The sequence below is a fragment of the Homo sapiens genome, chromosome X (assembly GCF_000001405.40).
Source record: "Homo sapiens chromosome X, GRCh38.p14 Primary Assembly".
In the NCBI taxonomy this organism is placed as follows: Eukaryota; Metazoa; Chordata; class Mammalia; order Primates; family Hominidae; genus Homo; species Homo sapiens.
In genome coordinates this window covers 116,726,924-116,752,193 of record NC_000023.11, presented here as the reverse complement: position 1 = coordinate 116,752,193, position 25,270 = coordinate 116,726,924, and the positions used below count along the sequence as shown (strand labels likewise).

General features: G+C 38.7%; 1 long non-coding RNA gene and 1 pseudogene across 1 annotated transcript; both read left to right on the top strand.

The window, feature by feature from the left end:
• The first annotated feature begins 917 nt into the window (after window positions 1–917).
• LOC105373320 (uncharacterized) lies at window positions 918–25,258 on the top strand. Its single transcript, XR_938556.1, has 3 exons — window positions 918–990; window positions 19,311–19,362; window positions 24,971–25,258. It is a non-coding gene; the product is annotated as an uncharacterized LOC105373320 (long non-coding RNA).
• PRPF4BP1 (PRPF4B pseudogene 1) lies at window positions 3,317–4,054 on the top strand (annotated as a pseudogene).

The following is a 25,270-nucleotide window of genomic DNA, read 5'->3' as shown; positions in this document are numbered from 1 at the left end:
AGAAAAAAAGTATTCCTCTTTAGAGTTCTCTATATATGTTAGCAATAAATAGGATAATAGCATTCCCATTTATTGGTTTTCCCAAGCACAAAACGAAGAAAACATTTAATTCATCAGCAAAGATTTTCAACTCTGCCTCAAAAATGTATTTTGAATTTGTCTACATCTGTCCACGTTACTGTCCTAATTGTAGTCAAGGCTAACATTATGTCTGACCTGAATTACTGTAAAAGCCTCTTGTTTCTTCTGCTTCTCCATTTTAACCCTTCCTGATTCACTGTTCAGGCTGGTGCAAGAATGGTCTTTTTAAAAATAAGTTTATTTTTCCAAGATGGTGGATTAGAGGCTTTTAGGATGCCTTGGCCACTGGGAAATAACAAAATAGTGCATAAAGATGAACTCTGTTGGCTTTAATTCAAAAAGGAAAGTGGGAGTTCACTGGATGTGTAGTACACACCAGATACTGAGAAACAGAATGTAAAATAAAACAGCCCCCATGACAGTGTCTGGCTGATAATTCTGAGTGAAGCCCCAGTATGTGAGAGAAGCAGAGAGCCTCCTTCTGTGACTCTCCTTTCCACTGGTGATCTGAGCAACGTAGGAAGATGGAAAGCACTTTATTTTTTTCCTAGCCCCAGAGCTAACCTGGGGAGAGGCTTGGAGATGCTGAGAGGGAAAGACACTGGGAAATGCTAAAGGCATTTTCCCAGACCCAGGACCAAGGAGAGGATGACATTTTTAATCTAAGTGCATACAAAACCAGACATTCTTTAATGACCCAGCAGTGTGGCCATGTAAGCATTTTAGTCTTGGGCCAGAGATTAGAGTGCTTGTTCTGAAGTGGATTGGGGCCTCCACAGCCAGAATTGTGGAAAGCACCTCAGTAGTAGATGCTGAAATTGTATTCTCCCCTTTCACAGGCCTGGGGCAGGAGCAGAACTACTACAAATGCATTTTCACCTGGGTGAAAAGACTTGCAGCTAGAGCCAGGTTGGTGGACTGGAACTGGTCTGAATGTGTCATTGTTGGATGCCCATTGCTGGTTCCATGATACTGTGGTGCAGCAGGGCCCTCGTCACTCAATGTTCAGGTAGTCAGAGAATCCCCTTGCCAGGATTAACACCCTGAGATACACTATTCTTCCTGCACATAGACCATGGTACAGTAGGGCCCTCTCTACTTCATGCCCAGGCAGATCTCTAAGCATTAAGACCACCTGATTGCATGGTTCAGCAGCCTGAGACACCCCATCCTTCCTGAGCACAGATCATTGTGCAATGAGGCCCTCTCTGCTTCACACCAAGGCAGATCTTCAGGCATTTAGAACACCCACTTGCTTGGTTCAACAGGCTCTGTCACCCACCCTCCCTGTGCAGAGACCATGGTACAGTGGGGCCCTCTCTGCCCTATGCTCAGGTGGATCTCCAGGAAATCAGAGCACCCACTCATCCAGATCAGCAGCTTAAGCCATGCCACCTTTCCTGTGTATAGATTGTGGTGAAGTGGGGTCCTCTCTGGTCCATATCCAGGAAGATTCCAGGCATTGGGAGCACCCACTCTTATGGATTAGTAGCTTAAGTCACCCCATCACTCCTGTGCAGAGGTCCTCGTGCAGCTGGGCCCTCTCTGTTCCATGCCCAGGCAGATCTCCAGACATTTGTAGCACCTGACCAGGTTTAGCAGCCTGAGCTGCCCCATCCTTCCTGGGAATATATCATGGTGCAGAGTAGCCCTCTTCAATCCTTGCCCAAGTAGATGTCCAGGCACCTGGAGCACCCAATCTCCCAGATTAGGAGTATAGGCCACCCCTCTACCTATGTTGAGAATGGAAGAAAAAGGCTTCCCTGCTCGACACCTAGATACAATTCTAGGTATTTGTTTGATGCCCACTGGATTCTCTATAAGCACTGGTTTTGTGTCTGCTATGGAAGAACTGTAGGTGGACTTGCCCAGTCAAGCCCCAGCCATCTAACCCCTCCCTCTTGGGGCTGAACGAGAAGCTCACATTACTGTGCACTCCATAGATCAGCTCATTGCCTGGGGCAACAGAGAGCTTCTCCCGGTAAACAAGGATCAAGTATATACCAAGCTGGATTGGTAGCAGTTTGTGCTTATCCATAAGTGCCATCTACCGGCTTTAAGGTCAAATCATGAAGCCCAATATAAAACCTGCCAATAGAATTGCATAGGGCTTTAGAAGCAAAGACAAAAGACCCTACCTAACATTCACTATAGTAACACCCCAAAGGCAAAGGATGAAACTGAAAGAGAAAGAAAAATAAAACCATAATACTATAGGGAAAGAAAAAAAAAGGAAAAAATCCTACTCACACAAAAATAATTACAAAAATTAGAACCTTCAGTGTCTCCAGATGAGAAGAAACCAGTATAAAAATTCTGGTGCTATAAAATCTGAATGTAGTAACACCACCAAAGGCTCATTCTGGCTATCCAGCAATGGTTGATAACCAAAATGGAAATTCAGGAATGACAGATAAAGGACTCAAAGCATGGATTGCAAAGAAGCTTAATGATATACAAGACAAGGATGAAAATCAACACAAATAAACTTCTAAAGTAATCCAGGAATTGAAGGAAGAGATAAAATCTTTAAAATATCAATAAAAGATCCTGAAATTTAAAAATTTATTTAATAAATTTTAAAATAAAATTAAAAGCTTTGTTAGCAGACTAGAGACCAGGAAGAAAAAGACCAATCTTTCTAATGAACCCAGTCAGAAAAAAATAAAGAAAAAATAATTTTTAAAAATGAGCAAAGTCTTCAAAAATGGAATTATATATAGCAATCAAACCTATGAGTTGCTGGCATTACTGAGAAAGAAGTAGAAAATATAAGAAACCAGAAAACATAGTTGAGGGAATAGTTCAATAAAATTTCCCTAATCTTGCTGGAGACCTAAACATCCAGATACAAGAAATCCAGAGAACAGTTGCAAGATACTATTTAAAACAAATAACACCACGGCATATAGTCACCAGACTGTTGAAAGTCAAGGCTAGAGAAAAAAAATCATAAAGGCAGATAGAAAGAATATCAGATCACATACCAAGGAAACCCCAAAAGTCTACCAGCAGACTTCTCTGCAGAAAGATTAAGAGCCAAAAGAAATTGAAGGCCTATTATCAGCATTCTTATAGAAAATTATTGCCAACCAAGATTTTCATAGCCCAGCAAACTTAGTATCATGGGTGAAGAAAAAATAAAGTCTTTTCCAGACAAGCAAGTGCAAAAAGGAATTTGTTCCTACTAGACCACCAGCCATATAAGAGATACTTAAGGGACCTCTTAAGAGATACCAATAACCATATGCTGAAACTTGCAATGGATCTCAAAGGAAAGATGCCAAATAAGATGATTAGAAAAGGTGTATTCAAGGATCAGCATTTTGATCAAAATCTCAACTTCAGGTATATAGAAATTGATAAAGTAACAGAGAGGGAGAAAGTTACTGTTATAAGCACCATTAATCCAACTAAGGACCTGTTGGCTGACTTGATTGGGTGCCAGAGACTTCCTGAAGACCAACGTAAGAAAGTACACCAGCTAAAGGACTTGTTGGACCAGATTCTGATGTTGGATCCAGCTAAACGAATTAGCATCAACCAGGCCCTACAGCATGCCTTCATCCAGGAAAAAATTTAAACAAGATGAAGAAACTCCAAGGGCTTGAGTAAATATAAAGACTGAAGAAATTTCACAGCAGTTTATTAATGTGTGTGTGTGCGGGCCACAGCAGCATGCCATTGGTGTAGTCAGTGATGAAAGGGGTCTGTTCCTTCTTGAGCCTGCTGCAGGGATGGTCTCCTTTTAAAGCAGTTGTGTGCAGCATTCAGTACACTGAAGAGAGAAAGGAAAATGGGGCACAGGCCATTCGATGCCTTCTCCAAGGAGTCTGACTTGCTGAGACACCAGCTTCACCTTCTTAACAAGGTGCAGCTCAGTGGAAGATGATGACAACCAGAAGATGTGAGCTAAGGGTAAGGGACTGTTCTGAAGAACTTTTCCATTTAGTGATCAAGATATGGAAGCTGATTTATGAAAATACTCAGTGTATATTCTAATTATTTGTGGTACCATTTGAATTGTAACTTGCATTTTAGCAGTGCATGTTTGTAATTGACTTACTGGGAAACTGATTAAAATACACCTCTTATTAAAAAAACAAAAGAGAGGAATTTCCACACTTTCTTCGACAATGGTTGAACTAGTTAGTTTACAGTCCCACCACCAGTGTAAAAGTGTTCCTATTTCTCCACATCCTCTCCAGCACCTGTTGTTTCCTGACATTTTAATGATCACCATTATAACTGGTGTGAGATGGTATGATTTAGAACTAGAAATGACATTTGACCCAGCCATCCCATTACTGGGTATATACCCAAAGGATTATAAATCATGCTGCTATAAAGACACATGCACACGTATGTTTATTGTGGCACTATTCACAATAGCAAAGACTTGGAACTAACCCAAATGTCCATCAGCGATAGACTGGATTAAGAAAATGTGGCACATATACACCATGGAATACTATGCAGCCATAAAAAATGATGAGTGCATGTCCTTTGTAGGACATGGATGAAGCTGGAAACCATCATTCTGAGCAAACTATCACCAAGGACAGAACATCAAACACCACATGTTCTCACTCATAGGTGGGAATTGAAAAATGAGAACACTTGGACACAGGGTGGGGAACATCACACACTGGGGCCTGTCGTGGGGTTGGGGGAGGAGGGGAGGGATAGCATTAGGAGATATACCTAATGTAAATGATGAGTTAATGGGTACAGCACACCAACATGGCACATGTATACATAAGTAACAAACCTGCACGTTGTACACATGTACCCTAGAACTTAAAGTATAATAATAAAAAAAGAGAGATACTTAAGGGACCTCTAAACATAGAAAGAAAAAAATGATACCTGCCAACACAAAACACACTTAAGTATATAGCCCACAGACCATATAAAGCAGCCACACTATAGAAACTACAAAATAAACAGAAAATAACTTCACAATAGGATCTAAGCCTCACATATAAATATTAACCTTAAATGAAAATAGTCTAAACGCAACAAAAGGCAAAGAGCTGCAAGTTAGATAAAAATAAGATTCATCCATCTGCATCTTCTAGGGACTCATCTCACATGTAATGACATACATAGGCTCAAATTAAAGGGATAAAGAATAATATATCACACAAATGGAGCACAAAAAAGAGCAGGGGTCACTATTCTTATATTAGATAAAACAGACTTAAACCAACAACAGTAAAAAAGGACAAACTTGCATTATGTAATAATAAATAGTTCAGTTGAATGAGAAGACTTAAATATTGTAAATATACAAACACCCAACACTGAAGAAACCAGATTCACAAAACAAGTACTTCTAGACCTACAAAAGACTGAGATAGCCACACAATAATAGTGGGAGACTTTAATATTCCATTGACAGCATTAGACAGATCATTGAGGCAGAAAACTAACAAAGAAATTATGGAATTAAATTTGACATTTGACCAATTGGGACTAATAGATGTCTACAGAATACTCCACCCACCAACCACAGAATATGCATTCTTTTTATCTGAACATGAACACACTCTAAGGTCAACAGCATGCTTAGCCATATAGCAAGTCTCAATCAATTCAAAATAATTGAAATCATACCAACCATAATCTTGGATCACAGTGGAATGAAAATAGAAATCAACAATGAGATCTCTCAAAACAAAAAAAAATGCATGAAATTTAAATAACCTGCTCCTGAATGATTTCTGCTTAAATGAAATCTTCGAAATAAATGAAAATAGAGACAACATACCAAAATCTCTGGGATACAGCAAAAGCCATGTTAAAAGGAAAGTTTATAGCACTAAATGCTTACTTCAAATGTTGGAAAGATCTCAAAATAACAATAACATCACACCTATAGAAGCTAGAACAAGAAGAAAAAATAGCCCCAAATGTAGCAGAAGAAAAGAAATAACTAAAATCAGAGCAGAACTCAGTGAAATTGAGATCCAAATAGCCATACAAAGAATCAACAAAACCAAAAGATAGTTTTTTTTTGAAAAAATAAACAAGATGAATAGACTGCTAGCTCAATTTACAAGGAGAAAAAAAAAATCCAAATAAGTGCAATCAGAAAAGACAAAGGTGACATTACAAATGTCCTCACAGTAATGCAAACAAACCTCAGACTGTTATGTACACCTCTACAGACACAAACTAGATAATCTAGAGGAAATGGATACATTCCTAGAAACACACAATCTCTCAAGATTGAATCAGCAAAAAATTGAAGTGCTGAACAGACTAATATCAAGTTTAAACTTTGAGTCAGTATTAAAAATAAATCTTCCAACTGAAAAAAGCCCCAGACCAGATGGATTCACAGTGTAATTTTTTGTGTGCGAAGAAGAGCTGGTACCAATTCTTCTGAAATTATTCCCAAAAATTTAGGAGGAGATAATCTTTGCTACCTTATTCTACAAAGCCAGAATCACCCTGATAATACCTGGCAGAGACACAACTTCAAAAGAAAACTGCAGGGCAATATCCCTGATGAAAATGGACACGAGAATCCTCAACAAAATATTAGCAAACCAATTCTAGTAGTACATCAAAAGGTTAGTTCAACACGATCACATGAGATTCATTCCTGGAATGCAAAGTTAGTTCAACATATACAAATTAATAAATGGAATTCACCACCTAAAGACAATTAAAAACAATAACTGCATGATCATCTCAATAGATGTGGCAAAAGTTTTCAATAAAATCCAACGTTACTTAATAATAAATACCATCAACAGTCTAGGCATTGAAGAAACATATCACATAATAATAAGAGCCATCTATGATAAACCCACAGCCAATGTTACACTGAGTTGGCACAAGCTAGAAGTATTCGCCTTGAAAATTGGAGTATAATAAGAATGCCCATCCTTACCACTCCTATTCAATATAGTACTGGAAGCCTTTGCCAGAGCAATCAGGCAAGAGTAAGAAATGAAGCGCATTCAAATAAGAAGAGAAGACATCAAACTACCTTCCTCTGCTGACCATATGATTCTATACCTAGAAAACACTAAACACACCGTGAAAAGGCTCTTGGAACTGATATAAGACTTCAGTAACATTTTGGAATACAAAATCAATGTACAAAGATCAGTAGCATTTCTTTCTTTTTTTATTTTTTATTTTTTTTTCTGAGACAGAGTCTTGCTCTGCTGCCCAGGCTGGAGTGCAGTGGTGCGATCTCAGCTCACTGCAACCTCCACCTACCGGGTTCACATCATTCTTCTGCCTCAGTCTCCCGAGTAGCTGGGACTACAGGCACCCACCACCATGCCCGGCTAATTTTTTGTATTTTTAGTACAGACGGAGTTTCACCGTATTAGCCAGCATGGTCTCGAAAGATCAGTAGCATTTCTATACACCAATAACGTTCAAGTTGAGAGCCAAATTAAGAATGTCCTTTGTAGGGACATGGATGAAATTGGAAATCATCATTCTCAGTAAACTATCACAAGGACAAAAAACCAAACACCGCATGTTCTCACTCACAGACGTGAATTGAACAATGAGAACACATGGACACAGGAAGGGGAACATCACACTCTGGGGACTGTTGTGGGGTGGGGGGAGTGGGGAGGGATAGCATTAGGAGATATACCTAATGCTAAATGACGAGTTAATGGGTTCAGCACACCAGCATGGCACATGTATACATATGTAACAAACCTGCACATTGTGCACATGTACCCTAAAACTTAAAGTATAATAATAAAAAAAAAGAATGCAATCTCATTTACAATAGCCACACAAAAAGCAAAATACCTGGAAATACATCTAATCGAGGAAGTGAAAAATCTCTATACAGAGAATTACAAAACTCTGCTGAGAGAAATCACAGATGAAACAAACAAAGTTGAAACATTCCATGTTCATGCATTAGAGGAATCAATATTGCTAATATGGCCACATTTCCCAAAAGATTCTACAGATTTAATAGTATTCCTATAAAACTCCCAATGTCATTTTTCATAAAATGAGAAAAAAACTATTCTAAAATTCACGTGGAACTATAAAAGCCCCCAAATAGCCAAAGCAATCTTAAAAAAAAAGAGCTGGAGGCATCACATTGCCCAACTTAAAACTACTACAAGTCTACCTTAGCCAAAACAGCATGGTACTGTTACAAAAAACAGATACATATACCAGTAGAACTGAATAGAGAGCCAAGTAATAAAGCTTCACACTTACAACCATCTGATCTTTGACAAAGATGAAAATAACAAGCAATGGAGAAAAGATTTCCTATTTAATAAGTGGTGCTGTGATAACTGGATAGTCATCGGCAGAAGAATGAAGACCTCTACCTTTCATCATATATAAAAATTAACTCAATGTGGATTAAAGATTCCAATATAAGACTTCAAATTGTAAGATTCCTAGCAGAAATCCTACAAAACACCATTCTTGATTCCAGCCTTGGGAAGGAATTTATAAATAAATCCCTAAAAGCTATTGCAATAAAAATAAAAATTGACAAGTGGGAGCTAATTGAACTAAAGAACTTCTGCACAGCAAAAAGAAATTTTCAGCAAACAGACAAACTACAGAGTGGGACAAAATATTCATAAACTGTGAATCTGACAAAGGTCTAATATCCAGAATCTATAAGGAATTTAAACAAATCAAAAAGCAAAATACAAATAAACTCATTAAAAATTGGGCAAAGAACATGAACAGACACTTCTCAAAAGAAGACACACATGCATTCAACAAACAGAAAAAAAGCTCAACATCACTAATTATCAGACAAATGCACATCAAAACCACAACGAGATAACATCTCACACCAGTCAGAATGGCTATTATTAAAAAGTCAAAAAACAACAGATACTGGCAAGGTTGCAGAGAAAAGAGAATGCTTATGCACTGTTGGTGGGAATGTAAATTAGTTGGGTCACTGTGGAAAGCAGTTTGGGGATTTCTCAAATAACTTAAAACAGAACTACTACTCAACCTACCCTTCCCATTACTGGGAATATGTCCAAAAGAAAATAAATTGCTCTACCAAAAAGCCACGTGCACTCATATGTTCATTGTAGCACTATGCAAAATAGCAAAACATGGTCTCAACCTAGGTGCCCATCAATGGCTGATCAGATAAAGAAAATGTAATACATATCCACTAGAGAAGACTATGCAGCCACAGAAAGAATGAAATCTCATCATTTGCTGGAACATGGGTGCAGCTGTAGGCCATTATCCTAAGCGAATTAATGCAGAAACAGAAAACCAAATACCACACATTCTTACCTATAAATGGGAGCCAAATATTGGTTATATATGGAAATAAAGATGGCAACCCTAGACACTGGAGACTAGTAGATGGGGAAGGGAGTGAGGGGACAAGGATTGAAAAACTACCAAGTACTATGCTCACTATCTCAGTGATGGAATCAATTGTACCCCAAAACTCAGCATCACACATACCCATGTAACATACCTGCACATATAACCACTGAATCAAAAACAGAAGTTGAAATTATTAAAAAATAAAAATAAAAAATAAAATAAAATTCAAACTAATATCCTATGAAAGACAGAAAACATAAATGAAAATAAAAATAATAAAGAAGTTTAATTATGTCATTCTTCAGTTATCCAGTGAGTTCCTATATGTCTAAACTACAGGATATCACATATAGTTTTTAATGAGTTACCTCCAGATCACTGCTCAGTATTCATTACTTACCACGTGCTGTTTTGCACTTTATAGTCTAGCAACAATGAATTGCTTTTACTTTGTTATATAATACATTATTTGTTATTTTAGCCTTTGTCATCGTTTTTGTGAGTACATATCTTTAAGATACTCATATATAGATTTAGAAAAAAATATTCAGGCTTCATAATTGTGTTCAGATATTATCTCCTTCAAGAAACATTTTCTGATCTCTACAGGTTATGTTAAATATTCCTCCTCTGAGTTCTCATAGCTTTCTGTACATTTCTCTATTATCACATTTACTTGCCACATAGAAAGACCACTAGCCAGAATAATAAAGAAAAAAAGAGAAAAGAATCAACTAGACAAAATACAGCATGATAAAGAGGAGATCATCACTGATCCCACAGAAATACAAACCATCAGAGAATACTATAAACACTTCTACACAAATAAACTAGAAAATCTAGAAGAAATAGATAAATCTAGAAGAAATAGATAAATTCCTGGACACCTACACCCTCCCAAGACAAAACCAGGAAGAAGTTGAATCCCTGAATAGACCAATAACAAGTTCTGAAATTGAGGCAGTAATTAATAGCCTACCAACCAGAAAAAGCCCAGGAGCAGTTGGATTCTCAGCTGAATTCTACCAGAGGCACAAAGAGGAACTCCTACCATTCCTTCTGAAACTATTACAAACAATAGAAAAAGATGGGGTCTATCCCTGAACCCTTAGGGTAAAACAGTCCAGGTGAGTTGAGAGTCAGGATGTACAGGGACATGGAAAAAGGCATCCTTAAGGTCCAGGACTGTAAACCACTCTGCTTCCTCTGGTATTTGGGAAAGCAGAGTATAAGGGTTAGGTACAGCTGGGTATAGAGAGGGACAACGGCCTCATTGAGAATCCTGAGATCTTGCACTAACCTCCACTGTCCGTTGGGTTTCTGTACTCCTCCCTTACTCATTTTGCAGGCGGAACAGGACTAAGGAGATTAAAAAAAAAAAAGGCTACCACTTTAGTCACGGCCCTCAGGCAAGCGGACTTTGGACGTTCTGGAAAAGAGAAAAGCTGGGCAAATTGAATGCCTTAATAAGGCTTGCTTCCAGTGCAGTCTACAAGGACACTTTTAAAAAGATTGTCCAAATAGAAATAAGCCATCCAATTGTCCACGTCCCTTATGTTAAGGGAATCACTGGAAGGCCCACTGCCCCAGGGGACGAAGGTCCTCTGAGTCAGAAGCCACTAAACAGATGATCCAGCAGCAGGACTGAGGGTGCCTAGGGCAAGCGCCAGCCCATGCCATCGCCCTCACAGAGCCCTGGGTATGCTTGACCATTGAGGGCCAGGAGGTTAACTGTCTCCTGGACACTGGCACGGCCTTCTCAGTCTTACTCTCCTGTCCTGGACAACTATCCTCCAGATCTGTCACTATCAGAGGGGTCCTAGGACAGCCAGTCACTAAATACTTCTCCCAGCCACTAAGTTGTGACTGGGGAACTTTACTCTTTTCACATGCTTTTCTAATTATGCCTGAAAGCTCCACTCCTTTGTTAGGGAGAGACATTATAGCAAAAGCAGGAGCCATTACACACCTGAACATAGGAGAAGGAACACTCATTTGTTGTCCCCTGCTTGAGGAAGGCATTAATCCTGAAGTCTGGGTAACAGAAGGACAATATGGATGAGCAAAGAATGCCCGTCCTGTTCAAGTTAAACTAAAGGATTCCGCCTCTTTTCCCTACCAAAGGCAGTAACCCCTTAGACCCGAGGCCCAACAAGGACTCCAAAAGATTGTTAAGGACCTAAAAGCCCAAGGCCTAGTAAAACCATGCAATAGTCCCTGTAATACTCCAGTTTTAGGAGTACAGAAACCCAAAGGACAGTGGAGGTTAGTGCAAGATCTCAGGATTATCAATGAGGCCGTTTTCCCTCTATACCCAGCTGTACCTAACCCTTATACTCTGCTTTCCCAAATACCAAAGGAAGCAGAGTGGTTTACAGTCCTGGACCTTAAGGATGCCTTTTTCCATGTCCCTGTACATCCTGACTCTCAACTCACCTGGACTGTTTTACCCCAAGGGTTTAGGGATAGCCCCCATCTATTTGGCCAGGCATTGGCCCAAGACTTGAGCCAGTTCTCATACCTGGACACTCTTGTCTTTTGGTACATTGATGATTTACTTTAAGCCGCCCATTCAAGCCACCCAAGTGCTCTTAAATTTCCTTGCCACCTGATGCTACAAGGTTTCCAAACCAAAGGCTCAGCTCTGCTCACAGCAGGTTAAATACTTAGGGCTAAAATTATCCAAAGGCACCAGGGCCCTCAGTGAGGAATGTATCCAGCCTATACTGGCTTATCCTCATCCCAAAACCCTAAAGCAACAAAGGTTTCCTTGGCATAACAGGCTTCTGCTGAATATGGATTCCCAGTTATGGCAAAATAGCCAGGCCATTATGTACACTAATTAAGGAAACTCAGAAAGCCAATACCCATTGAGTAAGATGGACAGCTGAAACAGAAGTGGCTTTCCCGGCCCTAAAGAAGGCCTTAACCCAAGCCCCAGTGTTAGGCTTGCCAACGGGGCAAGACTTTTCTTTATATGTCACAGAAAAAAACAGGAATAGCTCTAGGAGTCCTTACACAGGTCCGAGGGACCAGCTTGCAACCCGTGGCATACCTGAGTAAGGAAATTAATGTAGTGGCAAAGGGCTGGCCTCATTCTTTACGGGTAGTGGCAGCAGTAGCAGTCTTAGTATCTGAAGCAGTTAAAATAATACAGGAAAGAGATCTTACTGTGTGGACCTCTCATGATGTAAACAGCATACTCACTGCTAAAGGAGACTTGTGGCTGTCAGACAACAGTTTGCTTAAATATCAGGCTCTATTACTTGAAGGGCCAGTGCTGCAACTGCACACTTGTGCAACTCTTAACCCAGCCACATTTCTTCCAGACAATGAAGAAAAGATAGAACATAACTGTCAACAGGTGATTGCTTAAACATACGCCGCTTGAGGGGACCTTCTAGAGGTTCCCTTGACTGATCCCGACCTCAACTTGTACACTGATGGAAGCTCTTTGGTTCCTTGGTAGAAAAAGGACTTCAAAAAGTGGGGTGTGCAGTGGTCAGTGATAATGGAATACTTGAAAGTAATCCCCTTACTCCAGAAACTAGCGCTCAGCTGGCAGAATTAATAGCCCTCACTCGGGCACTAAAATTAGAAGAAAAAAGGGTAAATGTATATACAGACTCTAAGTATGCTTATCTAGTCCTCCATGCCTACACAGCAATATGGAGAGAAAGGGAATTCCTAACTTCCGAGGGAACACCTATCAAACATCAGGAAGCCATTAGGAGATTATTATTGGCTGTACAGAAACCTAAAGAGGTAGCAGTCTTACACTGCCGGGGTCATCAAAAAGGAAAGGAAAGAGAAATACAAGGGAACCGCTAAGCAGATATTGAAGCCAAAAGAGCCGCAAGGTGGGACCCTCCATTACAAATGCTTATAAAAGGACCCCTGGTATGGGGTAATCCCCTCCGGGAAACCAAGCCCCGGTACTCAGCAGAATAAAATACTATGGGGAAGCTCACGAGGATGTAGTTTCCTCCCCTCAGGATGGCTAGCCACTGAAGAAGGAAAAATACTTTTGCCTGCAGCTAACCAATGGAAATTACTTAAAACCCTTCACCAGACCTTTCACTTAGGCATTGATAGCACCCATCAGATGGCCAAATCATTATTTACTGCACCAGGCCTTTTCAAAACTATCAAGCAGATAGTCAGGGCCTGTGAAGTGTGCCAAAGAAATAATCCCCAGCACTTCAGGCCTATATTTCAATCTCTGTATCTTTAACCTCCTTGTTAAGTTTGTCTCTTCCAGAATCAAAGCTGTAAAACTACAAATGGTTCTTCAAATGGAGCACCAGATGCAGTCCATGACTAAGATCTACCGCGACCCCTGGACTGGCCTGGTAGCCCATGCTCTGATGTTAATGAGATCGAAGGCACCCCTCCGGAAGAAATCTCAAATGCATGACCCCTACTATGCCCCAATTCAGCAGGAAGCAGTTAGAGCAGTCGTTGGCCAACCTCCTCAACACCACTTGGGTTTTCCTGTTGAGAGGGGGTACTGAGAGACAGGACTAGCTGGATTTCCTAGGCTGTCTGAGAATCCCTAAGCTAGCTGGGAAGGTGACCACATCCACCTTTAAACATGGGGCTTGCAACTTAGCTCACACCCAACAAATCAGGTAGTAAAGAGAGCTCACTAAAATGCTAATTAGGCAAAAACAGGAGGTTAAGAAATAGCCAATCATCTATTGCCTGAGCGCACAGAGGGAGGGACAATGATTGGGATATAAACCCAGGCATTCGAGCTGGCAATGGCTACCCCCTTTGGGTCCCCTCCCTTTGTATGGGAGCTCTGTTTTCACTCTATTAAATCTTGCAACTGCAAAAAAAAAAAAAGAAAAAGAAAAAGAAAAAGAAAAAGAGGGACTCCTCCCTTACTCATTTTATGTGGCCAGCATCATCCTGATACCAAACCCTGGCAGAGCCACAACAAAACAAGAAAATTTCAGGCCAATATCACTGATGAACATTGATGTGAAAATCTGCAATAAAATACTGGCAGCCAGGTGCAGTGGCTCATGCCTGTAATCGCAGCACTTTGGGAGGCCAAGGCAGGTGGATCGTGAGGTCTAGAGATCAAGACCATCCTGGCCAACATTGTGAAACCCCTTCTCTACTAAAAATACAAAAATTAGCTGGGTGTGGCGGTACATGCCTGTAGTCCCAACTACTTGGGAGGGTGAGGCAGGAGAATCACTTGAACCCGGGAGGCAGAGGTTGCAGTGAGCTGAGATTGCAACACTGCACTTCAGTCTGGCGACAGAGTGAGACACTGTCTAAAAATATATATATATAAATATATGTTGGCAAACCGAATCCAGCAGCATATCAAAAAGCTTATCCACTACGATCAAGTCTGCTTCATCCCAGGGATGCAAGGCTGGTTCAACATATGCAAATCAATAAATGTAATCCATCACATAAAACCAATGACAAAAACCACATGATTATCTCAATAGAATTCAACTCCTCTTCATGCTAAAAACTTTCAATGAACTAGGTATTGATAGAATGTATCTCACAATAATAAGAGCTATTTATGACAAATCCACAGCCAATATCATACTCAATGGGCAAAAGCTGGAAGCATTCCCTTTGAAAACCAGCACAAAACAAGGATATCCTCTCTTACCACTCCTATTCAACATAGTATTGGATGTTCTGGCCAGGGCAATCAGGCAAGAGAAAGAAATAAAGGGTATTCAAATAGGAAGAGAGGAAGTCAAATTGTCTCTGTTTGCAGATGATGGGATTGGATATTTAGAAAACCCCATCATCTTAGCCCCAAATCTCCTTAAGCTGGTAAGCAACTTCAGCAAGTCTCAGGATAAAAAATCAATGTGCAAAAATCACAAGCATTTCTATACACCAATAAGAGACAAAACAGAGAGCCAAATCATGAGTGAACTCCCATTCACAATTGCTACAAGAGAAAAAAATACCTAGGAATACAACTTACAAGAGATGTGAAGGACCTCTTCAAGGAGAACTACAAACCACTGCTCAAGGAAATAAGAGAGGACACAAACAAATGGAAAAACATTCCATGCACATGGATAGGAAAAATCAATATTGTAAAAATGGCCATACTGCCCAAAGTAATTTATAGATTCAATGCTATTCCCATCAAGCTACCATTGACTTTCTTCACAGAATTAGAAAAAAACTACTTTAATTTTCATATGGAACCAAAAAAGAGACCATACTGCCAAGACAATCCTAAGCCAAAAGAACAAAGCTGGAGGCATCATGCTACCTGACTTCAAACTGTACTACAAGGCTACAGTAACCAAAACAGCATGGTACTGGTACCAAAACAGATATATAGACCAATGGAACAGAACAGAGGCATCAGAAATAGCGCCACATTATATTAAAGTCTGGCTGGGTGTTTGTATCTCCCACTAGATGGTAAGGTTCTCAGGGCAAGAGACCATATGTTATTCATCTTTGTGTTCCCAGCATCTCTATAGTTTAGTGTTTAATCCACAATAGGTGCTAAAGGAACATATACTGAAAGAAAGACTGAGTGAATGGAAGTCTTTGAGATATGTTCATCTGATTATGTGTCAGCTTTAGAACTAGAAAAATCAACTCTAATCCTCATTATGCCTACAGTAACGAAAATCATTTTGCACCAAGCAAGTCAGATGTTCACTCTTTCCTGAGGAACTAACTCACTCTGATGGACACTATCTCACTTAGCAGAAATCTACCTTAACACAAGAATTGCAGCCTGGACATTGGAAATTGCTAAATAAATCCTAGACTTTCACATTCACTTTGAAAATGCTATTACAACATTTTTATTAAATTGTGATAATTATCTCATATTGTGAGAAGCATATAAATTCAGGTCTAATTGTCTTTGGCAACAAATTTATTACTAAGTCCACAAAAGCAATTGTAAGAAAAATAAAAATTGATAAGTAGGACCTAATTAAACTAAGGAGCTTCTGCCCACCAAAAGAAACTATCAACAGAGTAAACAGACAACCTACAGAATGGGAGAAAATATTCAGAAATATGCATTTGACAAAGGTCTAATATCCAGAATTTATAAGGAATTTAAACAAATTAAAAAGCAAAATACAAATAACCTCATTAAAAATTGGGCAAAGAGCATGAACAGGCACTCTCAAAAGAAGGCATACATGTGGCCAACAAACATGAAAAAATGATCATAACCACTAATCATTAGAGAAATGCAAATCGAAGGTAAAATGAGATACCATCTCACACCAGTCAGAATGGCTATTATTAAAAAGTTAAAAAACAAATAAAAAACAGATGCTGGGGAGGTTAAGGAGAAAAGGGTATGCTTATACACTGCTGATGGGAATGAAAATTAGTTGAACCACCATGGAAAGCAATGTGGAGATTTCTCAAAGAACTTAAAAACAAATTGACCAAGCAATCCCACAATTGGGTATATACCCAAAGGAAAATAAATTGTTCTACCAAAGACACATGCACTCATATGTTCATTGCAGCATGATTCACAATAGCAAAGACATGTAATAAACCAAGATGCCAACAATAGTGGACTGGATAAATAAAAGATGATAAACATACCATGGAATACTATGCAGCCATAAAAAGTATAAAATCATTTCATTTGCAGCACCATGGATGTAGCTGGATGCCATTATTCTAAGCAAACTAATCCAGAAACTGAAAACTGAATAACACATGCTGTCAGTTATATGAGAGAGCTAAACATTGAATAGACATGGACACAAGGCTCAGAACAATAGATACTGGGAACTTCTTGGGAGGGGGGAGGAGTTGGAAGGCTACCTGTGGGTATTATGCTCACTACCTGGGTGACAGGATTATTCCTCCATCAGGCCTTAGAAAAATGCAATTTACCCATGTAAGAAACCTGCACATGTACCTCTGGAATCTAAAATAAAAGTAGAACAAAAAAAAAATTCAGGTCTACAGGGTTTTATGGGGTCGAAGGGCTTGTAAACTGGAATACATTAATGTATTGTTGAGGTTTAAAGCTCCCTTCATTCTATATAGACCTGGAAATAACTGACATTGTAAGCTTATTAAAATATGAAAATATTAAGTAAAATATTAACTGCTTAAATTTGGAGTTTGAATTATTATTTGACCTCTATAGCCCCAGGCAATAGAACATGCAGAAAATAATTTGGGTTATGAAAAGACACTTTGTTAAACATTAATATAAAACAATGCCATGGCTCAGTTTTGCTGTGTTGTTTTATACTGTTTTATACTGGAAAACATTGGACATTTTAAAAAATTAAGATTTTATAATGTTTATATTCTGTAAAAGAAGCCAGAACTTGTTATATTGACAAATGGCTTGAGAAAGGGAAAGCCATTATAGGGAAATGAGGTATTGATCAGAAAGGTGGGATAAAGTTCAGGAGAAAATCTACTGACATGTGACAGACTGTGATTTTCTAAGCTATCTGCAACTATATCTCTTTGAAGGCCTTTTTTCTGTTTCAAAGGGTCGGTTTCAAAGGGTAAAAACTATCTTAAATATCTCTGAGATATTCACAAAATGTTTCACAGTTAAAACCCTTAGTTCATCTTTACCAAGTGATGTTTTCCTGATAGCATCTTGGACTTGATCTCTGAATCCTTGTGATGGTTAATTTTATGTCAATTCTTCTGGTCTAAGAAGTGTCCAGATATTTGGTAAGACACTCCTCCAGGTGCTTCTGTGAAGGTGTTTTTGGATGAGTTTAACATTCATATAGATAGACTGAGTAAAGCATATTGCTCTCATGAATGTTGGGGGGGGGGTTCATTCAATCAGGTGAAGGCCTGAATACAATAAAAGGCTGACCCTTTCCCAAACAAGAGGGAACTCCTTCAACCTGATTTCCTTAGCAGTAGAACAAAGGCCTTTTTCTGCCTTTGGACCAGAACTAAACAATCAGCTCTCCTGGGTTTCTAGCTTGCTGACTACAGATTTTTGGACCTGTCAGCTTCCATAATAATGTGAACCAATTCCTTATGGTAAACTTTCTCTCTCTCTCTCTCTCTCTCTCTCTCTCTCTCTCTCCTCTCTCTCTATCTATAAATCTATATACACATATATATGTATATACACATCTCTCTCTATATATCTATAAGGAGCTCTCCTGGGTTTCTTGCTTGCTAGCTACAGATTTTTGGACCACTCTCTCTGTCTCTCTTGACAGACAGATAGATAGATATAGATAGATATAGATATAGATATAGATATAGATAGATAGGTAGAGATAGACCTTAGACTATGATCCTTTCAAGAGTAGAAGAACCAGGATATTTTCATGCCAAGACAGCATCCCTTCCATACTCTTTTATTTTTTTTCTGCATGTCTCTGACTCTGTATGTAAAGATTGTGCAACCGAACTTAAAATACAACTCCAGTATTTTTAAAGATGTGATGTTTGCAGATGCTGCTAAAGCACCCTAGAGAGTAGAAACTAAATATGACCTTACCTTTGCCCCATTTAAGGACCAAAAGGGCACAAAGGGGTTTCATTTCACTCTGAACTTTTGGTGATCACATATGGTATAGATGTATATCTGTGTAAATTCGTAGACACAATTTTAAGAAGCAGGAGAATCATTCTTAAATTTTCTCCATATAAGCACATAATATACTTAGCTCTCGTTTCCTTGGTTTTCCTTTTCATTCATGAAGAACTTCATTATTCAAATTTAGACAGATGCATAGAGCTGAATGGCTCTTTGGAGACTTGAATGTCTACCATTTTGCTTATTCTGGGATACTCATTATAAACCAGACATAACAGCTTAAGAAAATATCATAAATGCTCTGTCTCAATGCAACAGCATCATGAATATTGATGTTCAGTTTCTGTCAATCTTATGTCTCTTTGTTCTTTAATTCAAATGACAGGCTAAGAAGATAGACCTGCTATGATATACATAGAATCATAGACTGGAAGTTTGTGAGTAATATTCTCTTATGATTTATCTTGTTCAGAATTGTAAAGATCAAGTAATAGTTTATTTTACTTATAGTAGCTATTCCCATTTTCTTGAAGAGAAAACAGTCTCAGAGAGTTTACATGGTTTACTCAAAATCTAATTTACTAGTTAGTAAGTAGCAGAATCAGTACATCAATCCACAACTTCTCTGTATAAAAATGAAGTGACTTATCCTTGTCTAATATTGTGTTAGTATTGTCTCAATAAATGGTAGATGAATAAATAAATAAAGGAATAATTGATTCCTGCATGCTAGTGGTTTAGGTCACAAACAGAAACAAATTAGAAAAGGCTTTTCCCAGAATTACAGAATTCCTGGCTGCTAAGCATCTATTTCACACAGCAGGGCAATGAACGCAGGTGTACCAGCTAGTATACACAATCAAAAGATAACAGTTCCACGAATTGAGGTCAGCAGAGTCAGAGGGACATAACCAAAGGATTGGCTGCCACTCAGCCTCAAAACAGTAAAATGAAACATATATTACACTTAAAATGATAGCTTTTATAGAGTGAAATGTAGTCAAAATGAATCCACTGTAGAAACTCATGTCTAATATAAGAGCAAATATCAAACAACATTTGTTTTACAAAAGTGTTATTTTTCTAAAGCCACTGGATTAGAAGTGTTTATGCTCAATGTTGTATGGCAACAAAAAATCCTAAATATGTGCATATTTTAGTATCAACTGATCAAATTGTACTGCTTGATTGACAAGAGGGAGTGGTTAGGACAAGCTGTCAAGGCTATATTTTCAATAACTCAATCTTCTCCTAGCCACTATAATTAGTGTATTAGAACATCCTTTTTATCTCCAAGCACAAAAACTTATTGGGGGAAATATTATTGCAGGATGATAGGTCCCTGGGTACTCTGGGCTGACCTAGCTCTCCCGCTCCTGCTTGTATTTCTCAGGATAACTGTAAAATGTGCTGATAATACAAAATCCTGAGATAAAAAGGAATGGCATAGAACAGCCCTGGCTTTGTCCCCATCACTCATAGAACTGGATATCCCACAACACTTGGACTTAGTGTGCCAACAATTTGCCTCTAGAGTATAAAACCAGAGCAGAGGGCTTTTGGGATCCCAAAGCTGTTGTGCAAACTGGGGCATGTGTAGATGCTACTCCATCCACCTTGCATAGGTTTCTTGAGCATTGGAGGGCCAGCTTGCCATAGCTCATATATTTCTGTTGATTCTTACCCCCTATCTATGAGTAATAAAGGTTCTTTATTACTTGTAGACTTGCACAAGTTTTCTGTCTCATCACACTATACCTAAGAATGCAAGTGGTGAAGATACGACTGCTACAGCAGCTGGGTCTGATTTGAGCCCCTGCTATAGTCAAGAACCCTCACAAATAATTTACCTACTCTAGAATTAGCACATATTCATCTGTGAATGTGGAATATTCTTGATTCAAGATCTATTGTTCAAGATCCAAAAAAAAAAAAACCCTACAGGAAATTGACATTCCAGATGGTTCAAGAGGCTCAGAGGTTATGTCTTCAAGATCCTTGGTGCAGAGAATGATTATACAGTTAATTGGGCATGGCCAGTATAGAAAATGAAAAGTAACCAGAGGCTATACATAATGACAACAGGTTGTCCCAAGAGAATTTAAAGGCCTAGGAGGTTGTGAAGGGACTGGAGCTCAGAATGTTAGAACTTGAGGGTTAGAATCATTACAAATTGGGATTTATTTCCAGTTCTAACCAGATAACTAATTCATCTGCAAAAAACATTTACTCATATCTGTCAAATAAGGTGAGTTGGACTAAATGCTTTCAAAGGTCTCTTCTAGCATAATATTCTGTGATTGCAGGTCTTTACACTTAAGAATTCCCTTAGAGTTTAAGTTGGGTTTGATGTCACCAAAGTGGATCAAAGATACTTTAGCTACACATTTGCCTATTTAGGTGATCTTCATTAATTCCTGAAGTTATTTCTGGGATTATTTTCCTCAATTTTAATAATCTTATTTAGTATTTCCTGAAATACAAATGTGTCATCAGTAAATTCTTTCATCTTTTGCTTGTGTGATAATGCCCTTCTTTGCCTTTATTTTTGAAGGTACACTTTTCTAGGATTGAAAATCTATGTCTGAAGTATTTCTGTATTTTTAAAGATGACGTTACATTGAGTTTTGGCTTTCATAGTTTCTATTGAAATTCTAGTTCTCCATTTTTTTTTTGTTCTTCCTTTTAAGGTAGTCTTTTTCTTTTGAATTATTTGAAGATTTTTACCTTTATGACTAGTTTTCAGCAGTTTGACCATGATAAACCTAAGTGTGGTTTTATTTGCAGCTATTTTGTTTGGAATTTGCTGTGCATTATGAATCTTTAAGATGCAATATTTCATCATATTTGGAAAATTATTTATGATTTTCTTTTCAAATACTGTTTATTTCCCATTTCCTCTCTCTCCTATATACTTAAGATGAAAATTACGTATATTTTAACAACGTGATTGTGTTCTGTCTTGTATGTTGTTTTTCTTCCCCTATTCTTTATTTCTACAATTTTATTTTCCATTATTCTTTTCCATGTTTTATATTGACTTGTCCTCACATTTGTTAATCTTGTCTTCTGTTTGTGTGGATTCTGTTGTTAAACTACAGATATTAGATTTTCAGTTCCAGAGAGTCAATTTGATTTTTAATTTTTTATTTGTAATTTTCGTGAGTACATAGTAGGTGTATATACTTATGGGGTACCTGAAATGTTTTGATACAGGCATGCAATGTGTAATAATCACATTATGAAAAATGGGGTATCCATCCCCTCAAGCATTTATCCTTTGAGCTACAAACAATCCAATTACATGTTTTAAGTTATTTTAAAATGTATAACTAAGTTATTATTGACTATAATCAACCTGTTGTGCTATCAAATAGGTCTTATTTAATCTTTCTGTTTTTGTACCCATTAACAATTCGTAATTCTCCCACAGCCACCCAATACTGTCCACTTGATTTTTTAAGGTTTCCAATTATTTGTAAGATTTTTTATTTTTATTTGTTACCTTTTTATCCACATGCATTAATGTTTTAGTCATAGTTATTTTAAGTACTTATCTACTAACACAGAATTGTAGATCATCTATAGATCTGCAATTCTGTCTTTTCTCTGTTTGCTAAAGTAATAAAACATTTATTTTTATGAATAATTTTATGTATAAAATTTTATGTATAAAATTTTTATACATAAACCAGTGGCACTGAGAAAAAAACACCTGAAAAGCAATTATATGGTGCTAAAATGTGCAGACATATCATTGATATTTGAGATTGGACTTAGTTTGCCATTTTAATTCAGAATTTGGGATTCTCCATATGCATCATATGTGTCATAGGCTTTGATGACAAACCACTTATGGGTGTGCTAGCTGGCTGCAGGTTGATGGCCTTCACCTTTTGGGATGCTATAGAATGCATGTCTGACAAAACACAATTATTTCTACTGCAGGACAAATAGCAAAGTGTCAACTGATGCTAGAGATCATTATTTTCTCTGAGACTTTAATAGGAATATCGATGTAGGTCTGAGTTTTTGAACTGCTTTTTAATTTAACTTGTTTTTTATTTTCTATTTTTAAACTTTTATTTTAATTTGGCATACATGTGAAGATTTGTTACATAGGTAAATTCCATATTGCAGGGGTTTGGTATATAGATTATTTTATCACCCAGCTAATAAACATGAAATCTGATAGGTATTGTTTTAATCCTCACCCTCTACACACCTCCACCCATAAAAAAACCCCGATGTCTATTTATATTAGTCCATTTTCACACTGCTATAAAGAAATACCTGAGACTGGGTAATCTATAAGGAAAGAGGTTTAATTGACTCAGTCCTACATGACTGGGGAGAACTCAGGAAGCTTTCAATCATGGCAGAAGGCAAGGGGAATTAAGAACCTTCTTCACATGGTGACAGGAGAGAGAATTGCAAGCAGAGGAAATGACAGATGTTTATAAAACCATAAGATCTCATGAGAACTCACTCATGAAAATAGCATGGGGGAAACTGCACCCATGATCCAACAGCTCCCTCCCTCAACATGTGGGGATTATAGGTTACTCCCTTGACACATGAGGATTACAATAAGAGATGAAGTTTTGTTACCGTGGAAGAGATCTGAGTTACCCCATGTTACCAGCAGCCTATTCTTATGGGTCCACAGCAACTTCACTCCTTGGCTCCTCAGAAGGAAGAATTCGACTGAGGGCCATAAAGCAGAAAAAGACACCAAGGCAAGTTCCAGGGCAAAAATGGAAGTTTATATAAAAAGGTCTCAGAACAGGAAAGAAAGGAAGATGCACTTGGAAAAGACTGAAGTGGGCATGTGAAGGTTAAAGACAGAAGGTCAAGTGCCCTCTTTAACTGGGATTCTAGGATTTTTATAAATTCACCTTTTTCCCATGATTCTTCTCTTAGGGTGGGTTTTCTTCATGCACAGGGCCGCCCTTACCCTTAGGAAGTGAGCATGCACAGTGTGTTTAGGGAGTTCTAAACATGTCCATCTGAGGTTTTCTTCCTTTTTCTGGTAGAGTGTACTCAGAAGACCACACTTCATCATTTTTGTATTTTAATATACATGCCCAGGAAGTTGTTTCTCCCTGGGACCTGCCTTCAATTAAGATTTTGATGTTAACAGGTATGGACCATCATGAAATTGCCTCTCTCCCTGGTGTTGCTGAATTATCATGTTTAGAGAGGCAATGTGATAATTGCTGAACTATCACCTGACATTTCTAGTGGGTGGGGGAAGAGCTCTCTCCTGCCCCACTCATGCCTAACTACCAGTGACAATTTGGGTGGGAACACAGAGCCAAACCATATTATTCCACCCCTAGCTCCTCCAAAATCTCATGTCTTTTCAGATTTCAAAACCAACCATGCCTTCCAAACAGTTCCCCAAAATCCTAACTCATTTCAGCATTAACTCAAAAGTCCACAAGCCAAAGTTTCATCTGAGACAAGGCAAGTCCCTTCTGCCTATAAGCCTGTAAAATCAAAAGCAAATTAGTTGCTTCCTAGATACAATGGAGGTACAGGCATGAAGTAAATGCTCCAATTCCAAATAAAAAAAACTTGGCCAAAAAACAGGGGCTACAGGCCCTATACAAGTCCAAAATCCAGAAGGTCAGTCATTAAATCCTAAAGCTTCAAAATGATATTTTTTGACTCCATGTCTCACATTCTGTGCATGCTGATATAAGGGGTGGGCTCCCACAGACTCGGACAGCTCCTTCATAGTCTAGCATTGAGTGTCTGCACTTTTCCAGGTGGACAGTGCAAGCTGTCAGTGAATCTACCATTCTGGGGTCAGAGGACGGTGGCCCTCTTCTCACAGCTCTACTAGGCAGTGTCCCAGTTGGCACTCTGTGTAGGGGGTCCAATCCCACTTTTCCCTTCTGCACTGCCTGAGCAGAGGTTCTCCATGAGATCCCCGCCCCTGCAGTAAACTTCATCTGGACATCCAGGCATTTCCATACATCCTCTGAAATTTAGGTGGAGGCTCCCAAACCCCAATTTTTGACTTCTGTGTACTTGCAGGCTCAACGCCACGTGGAAGCGGCCAAGGCGTGGGGCCTGCACCCTCTGAAGCAATGCCTCAAGCTGTACCTTGGCCCATTTTCACCATGGCTGGAGCTGGAGCAGCAGGGACACAGGTCACCAAGTCACCAGGCTGCACACAGCAGTGGAGCCCTGGGCCTGACCCACAATCTATTTTTTCCTCCTAGGCTTCAGGACCTATGAAGGGAGGGGCTGCCATTAAGATCTCTGACATGCCTTGGAGACATTTTCTTCATTGTCTTGGTGATTAACCTCTTTTCTTATGCAAATTTATGCAGT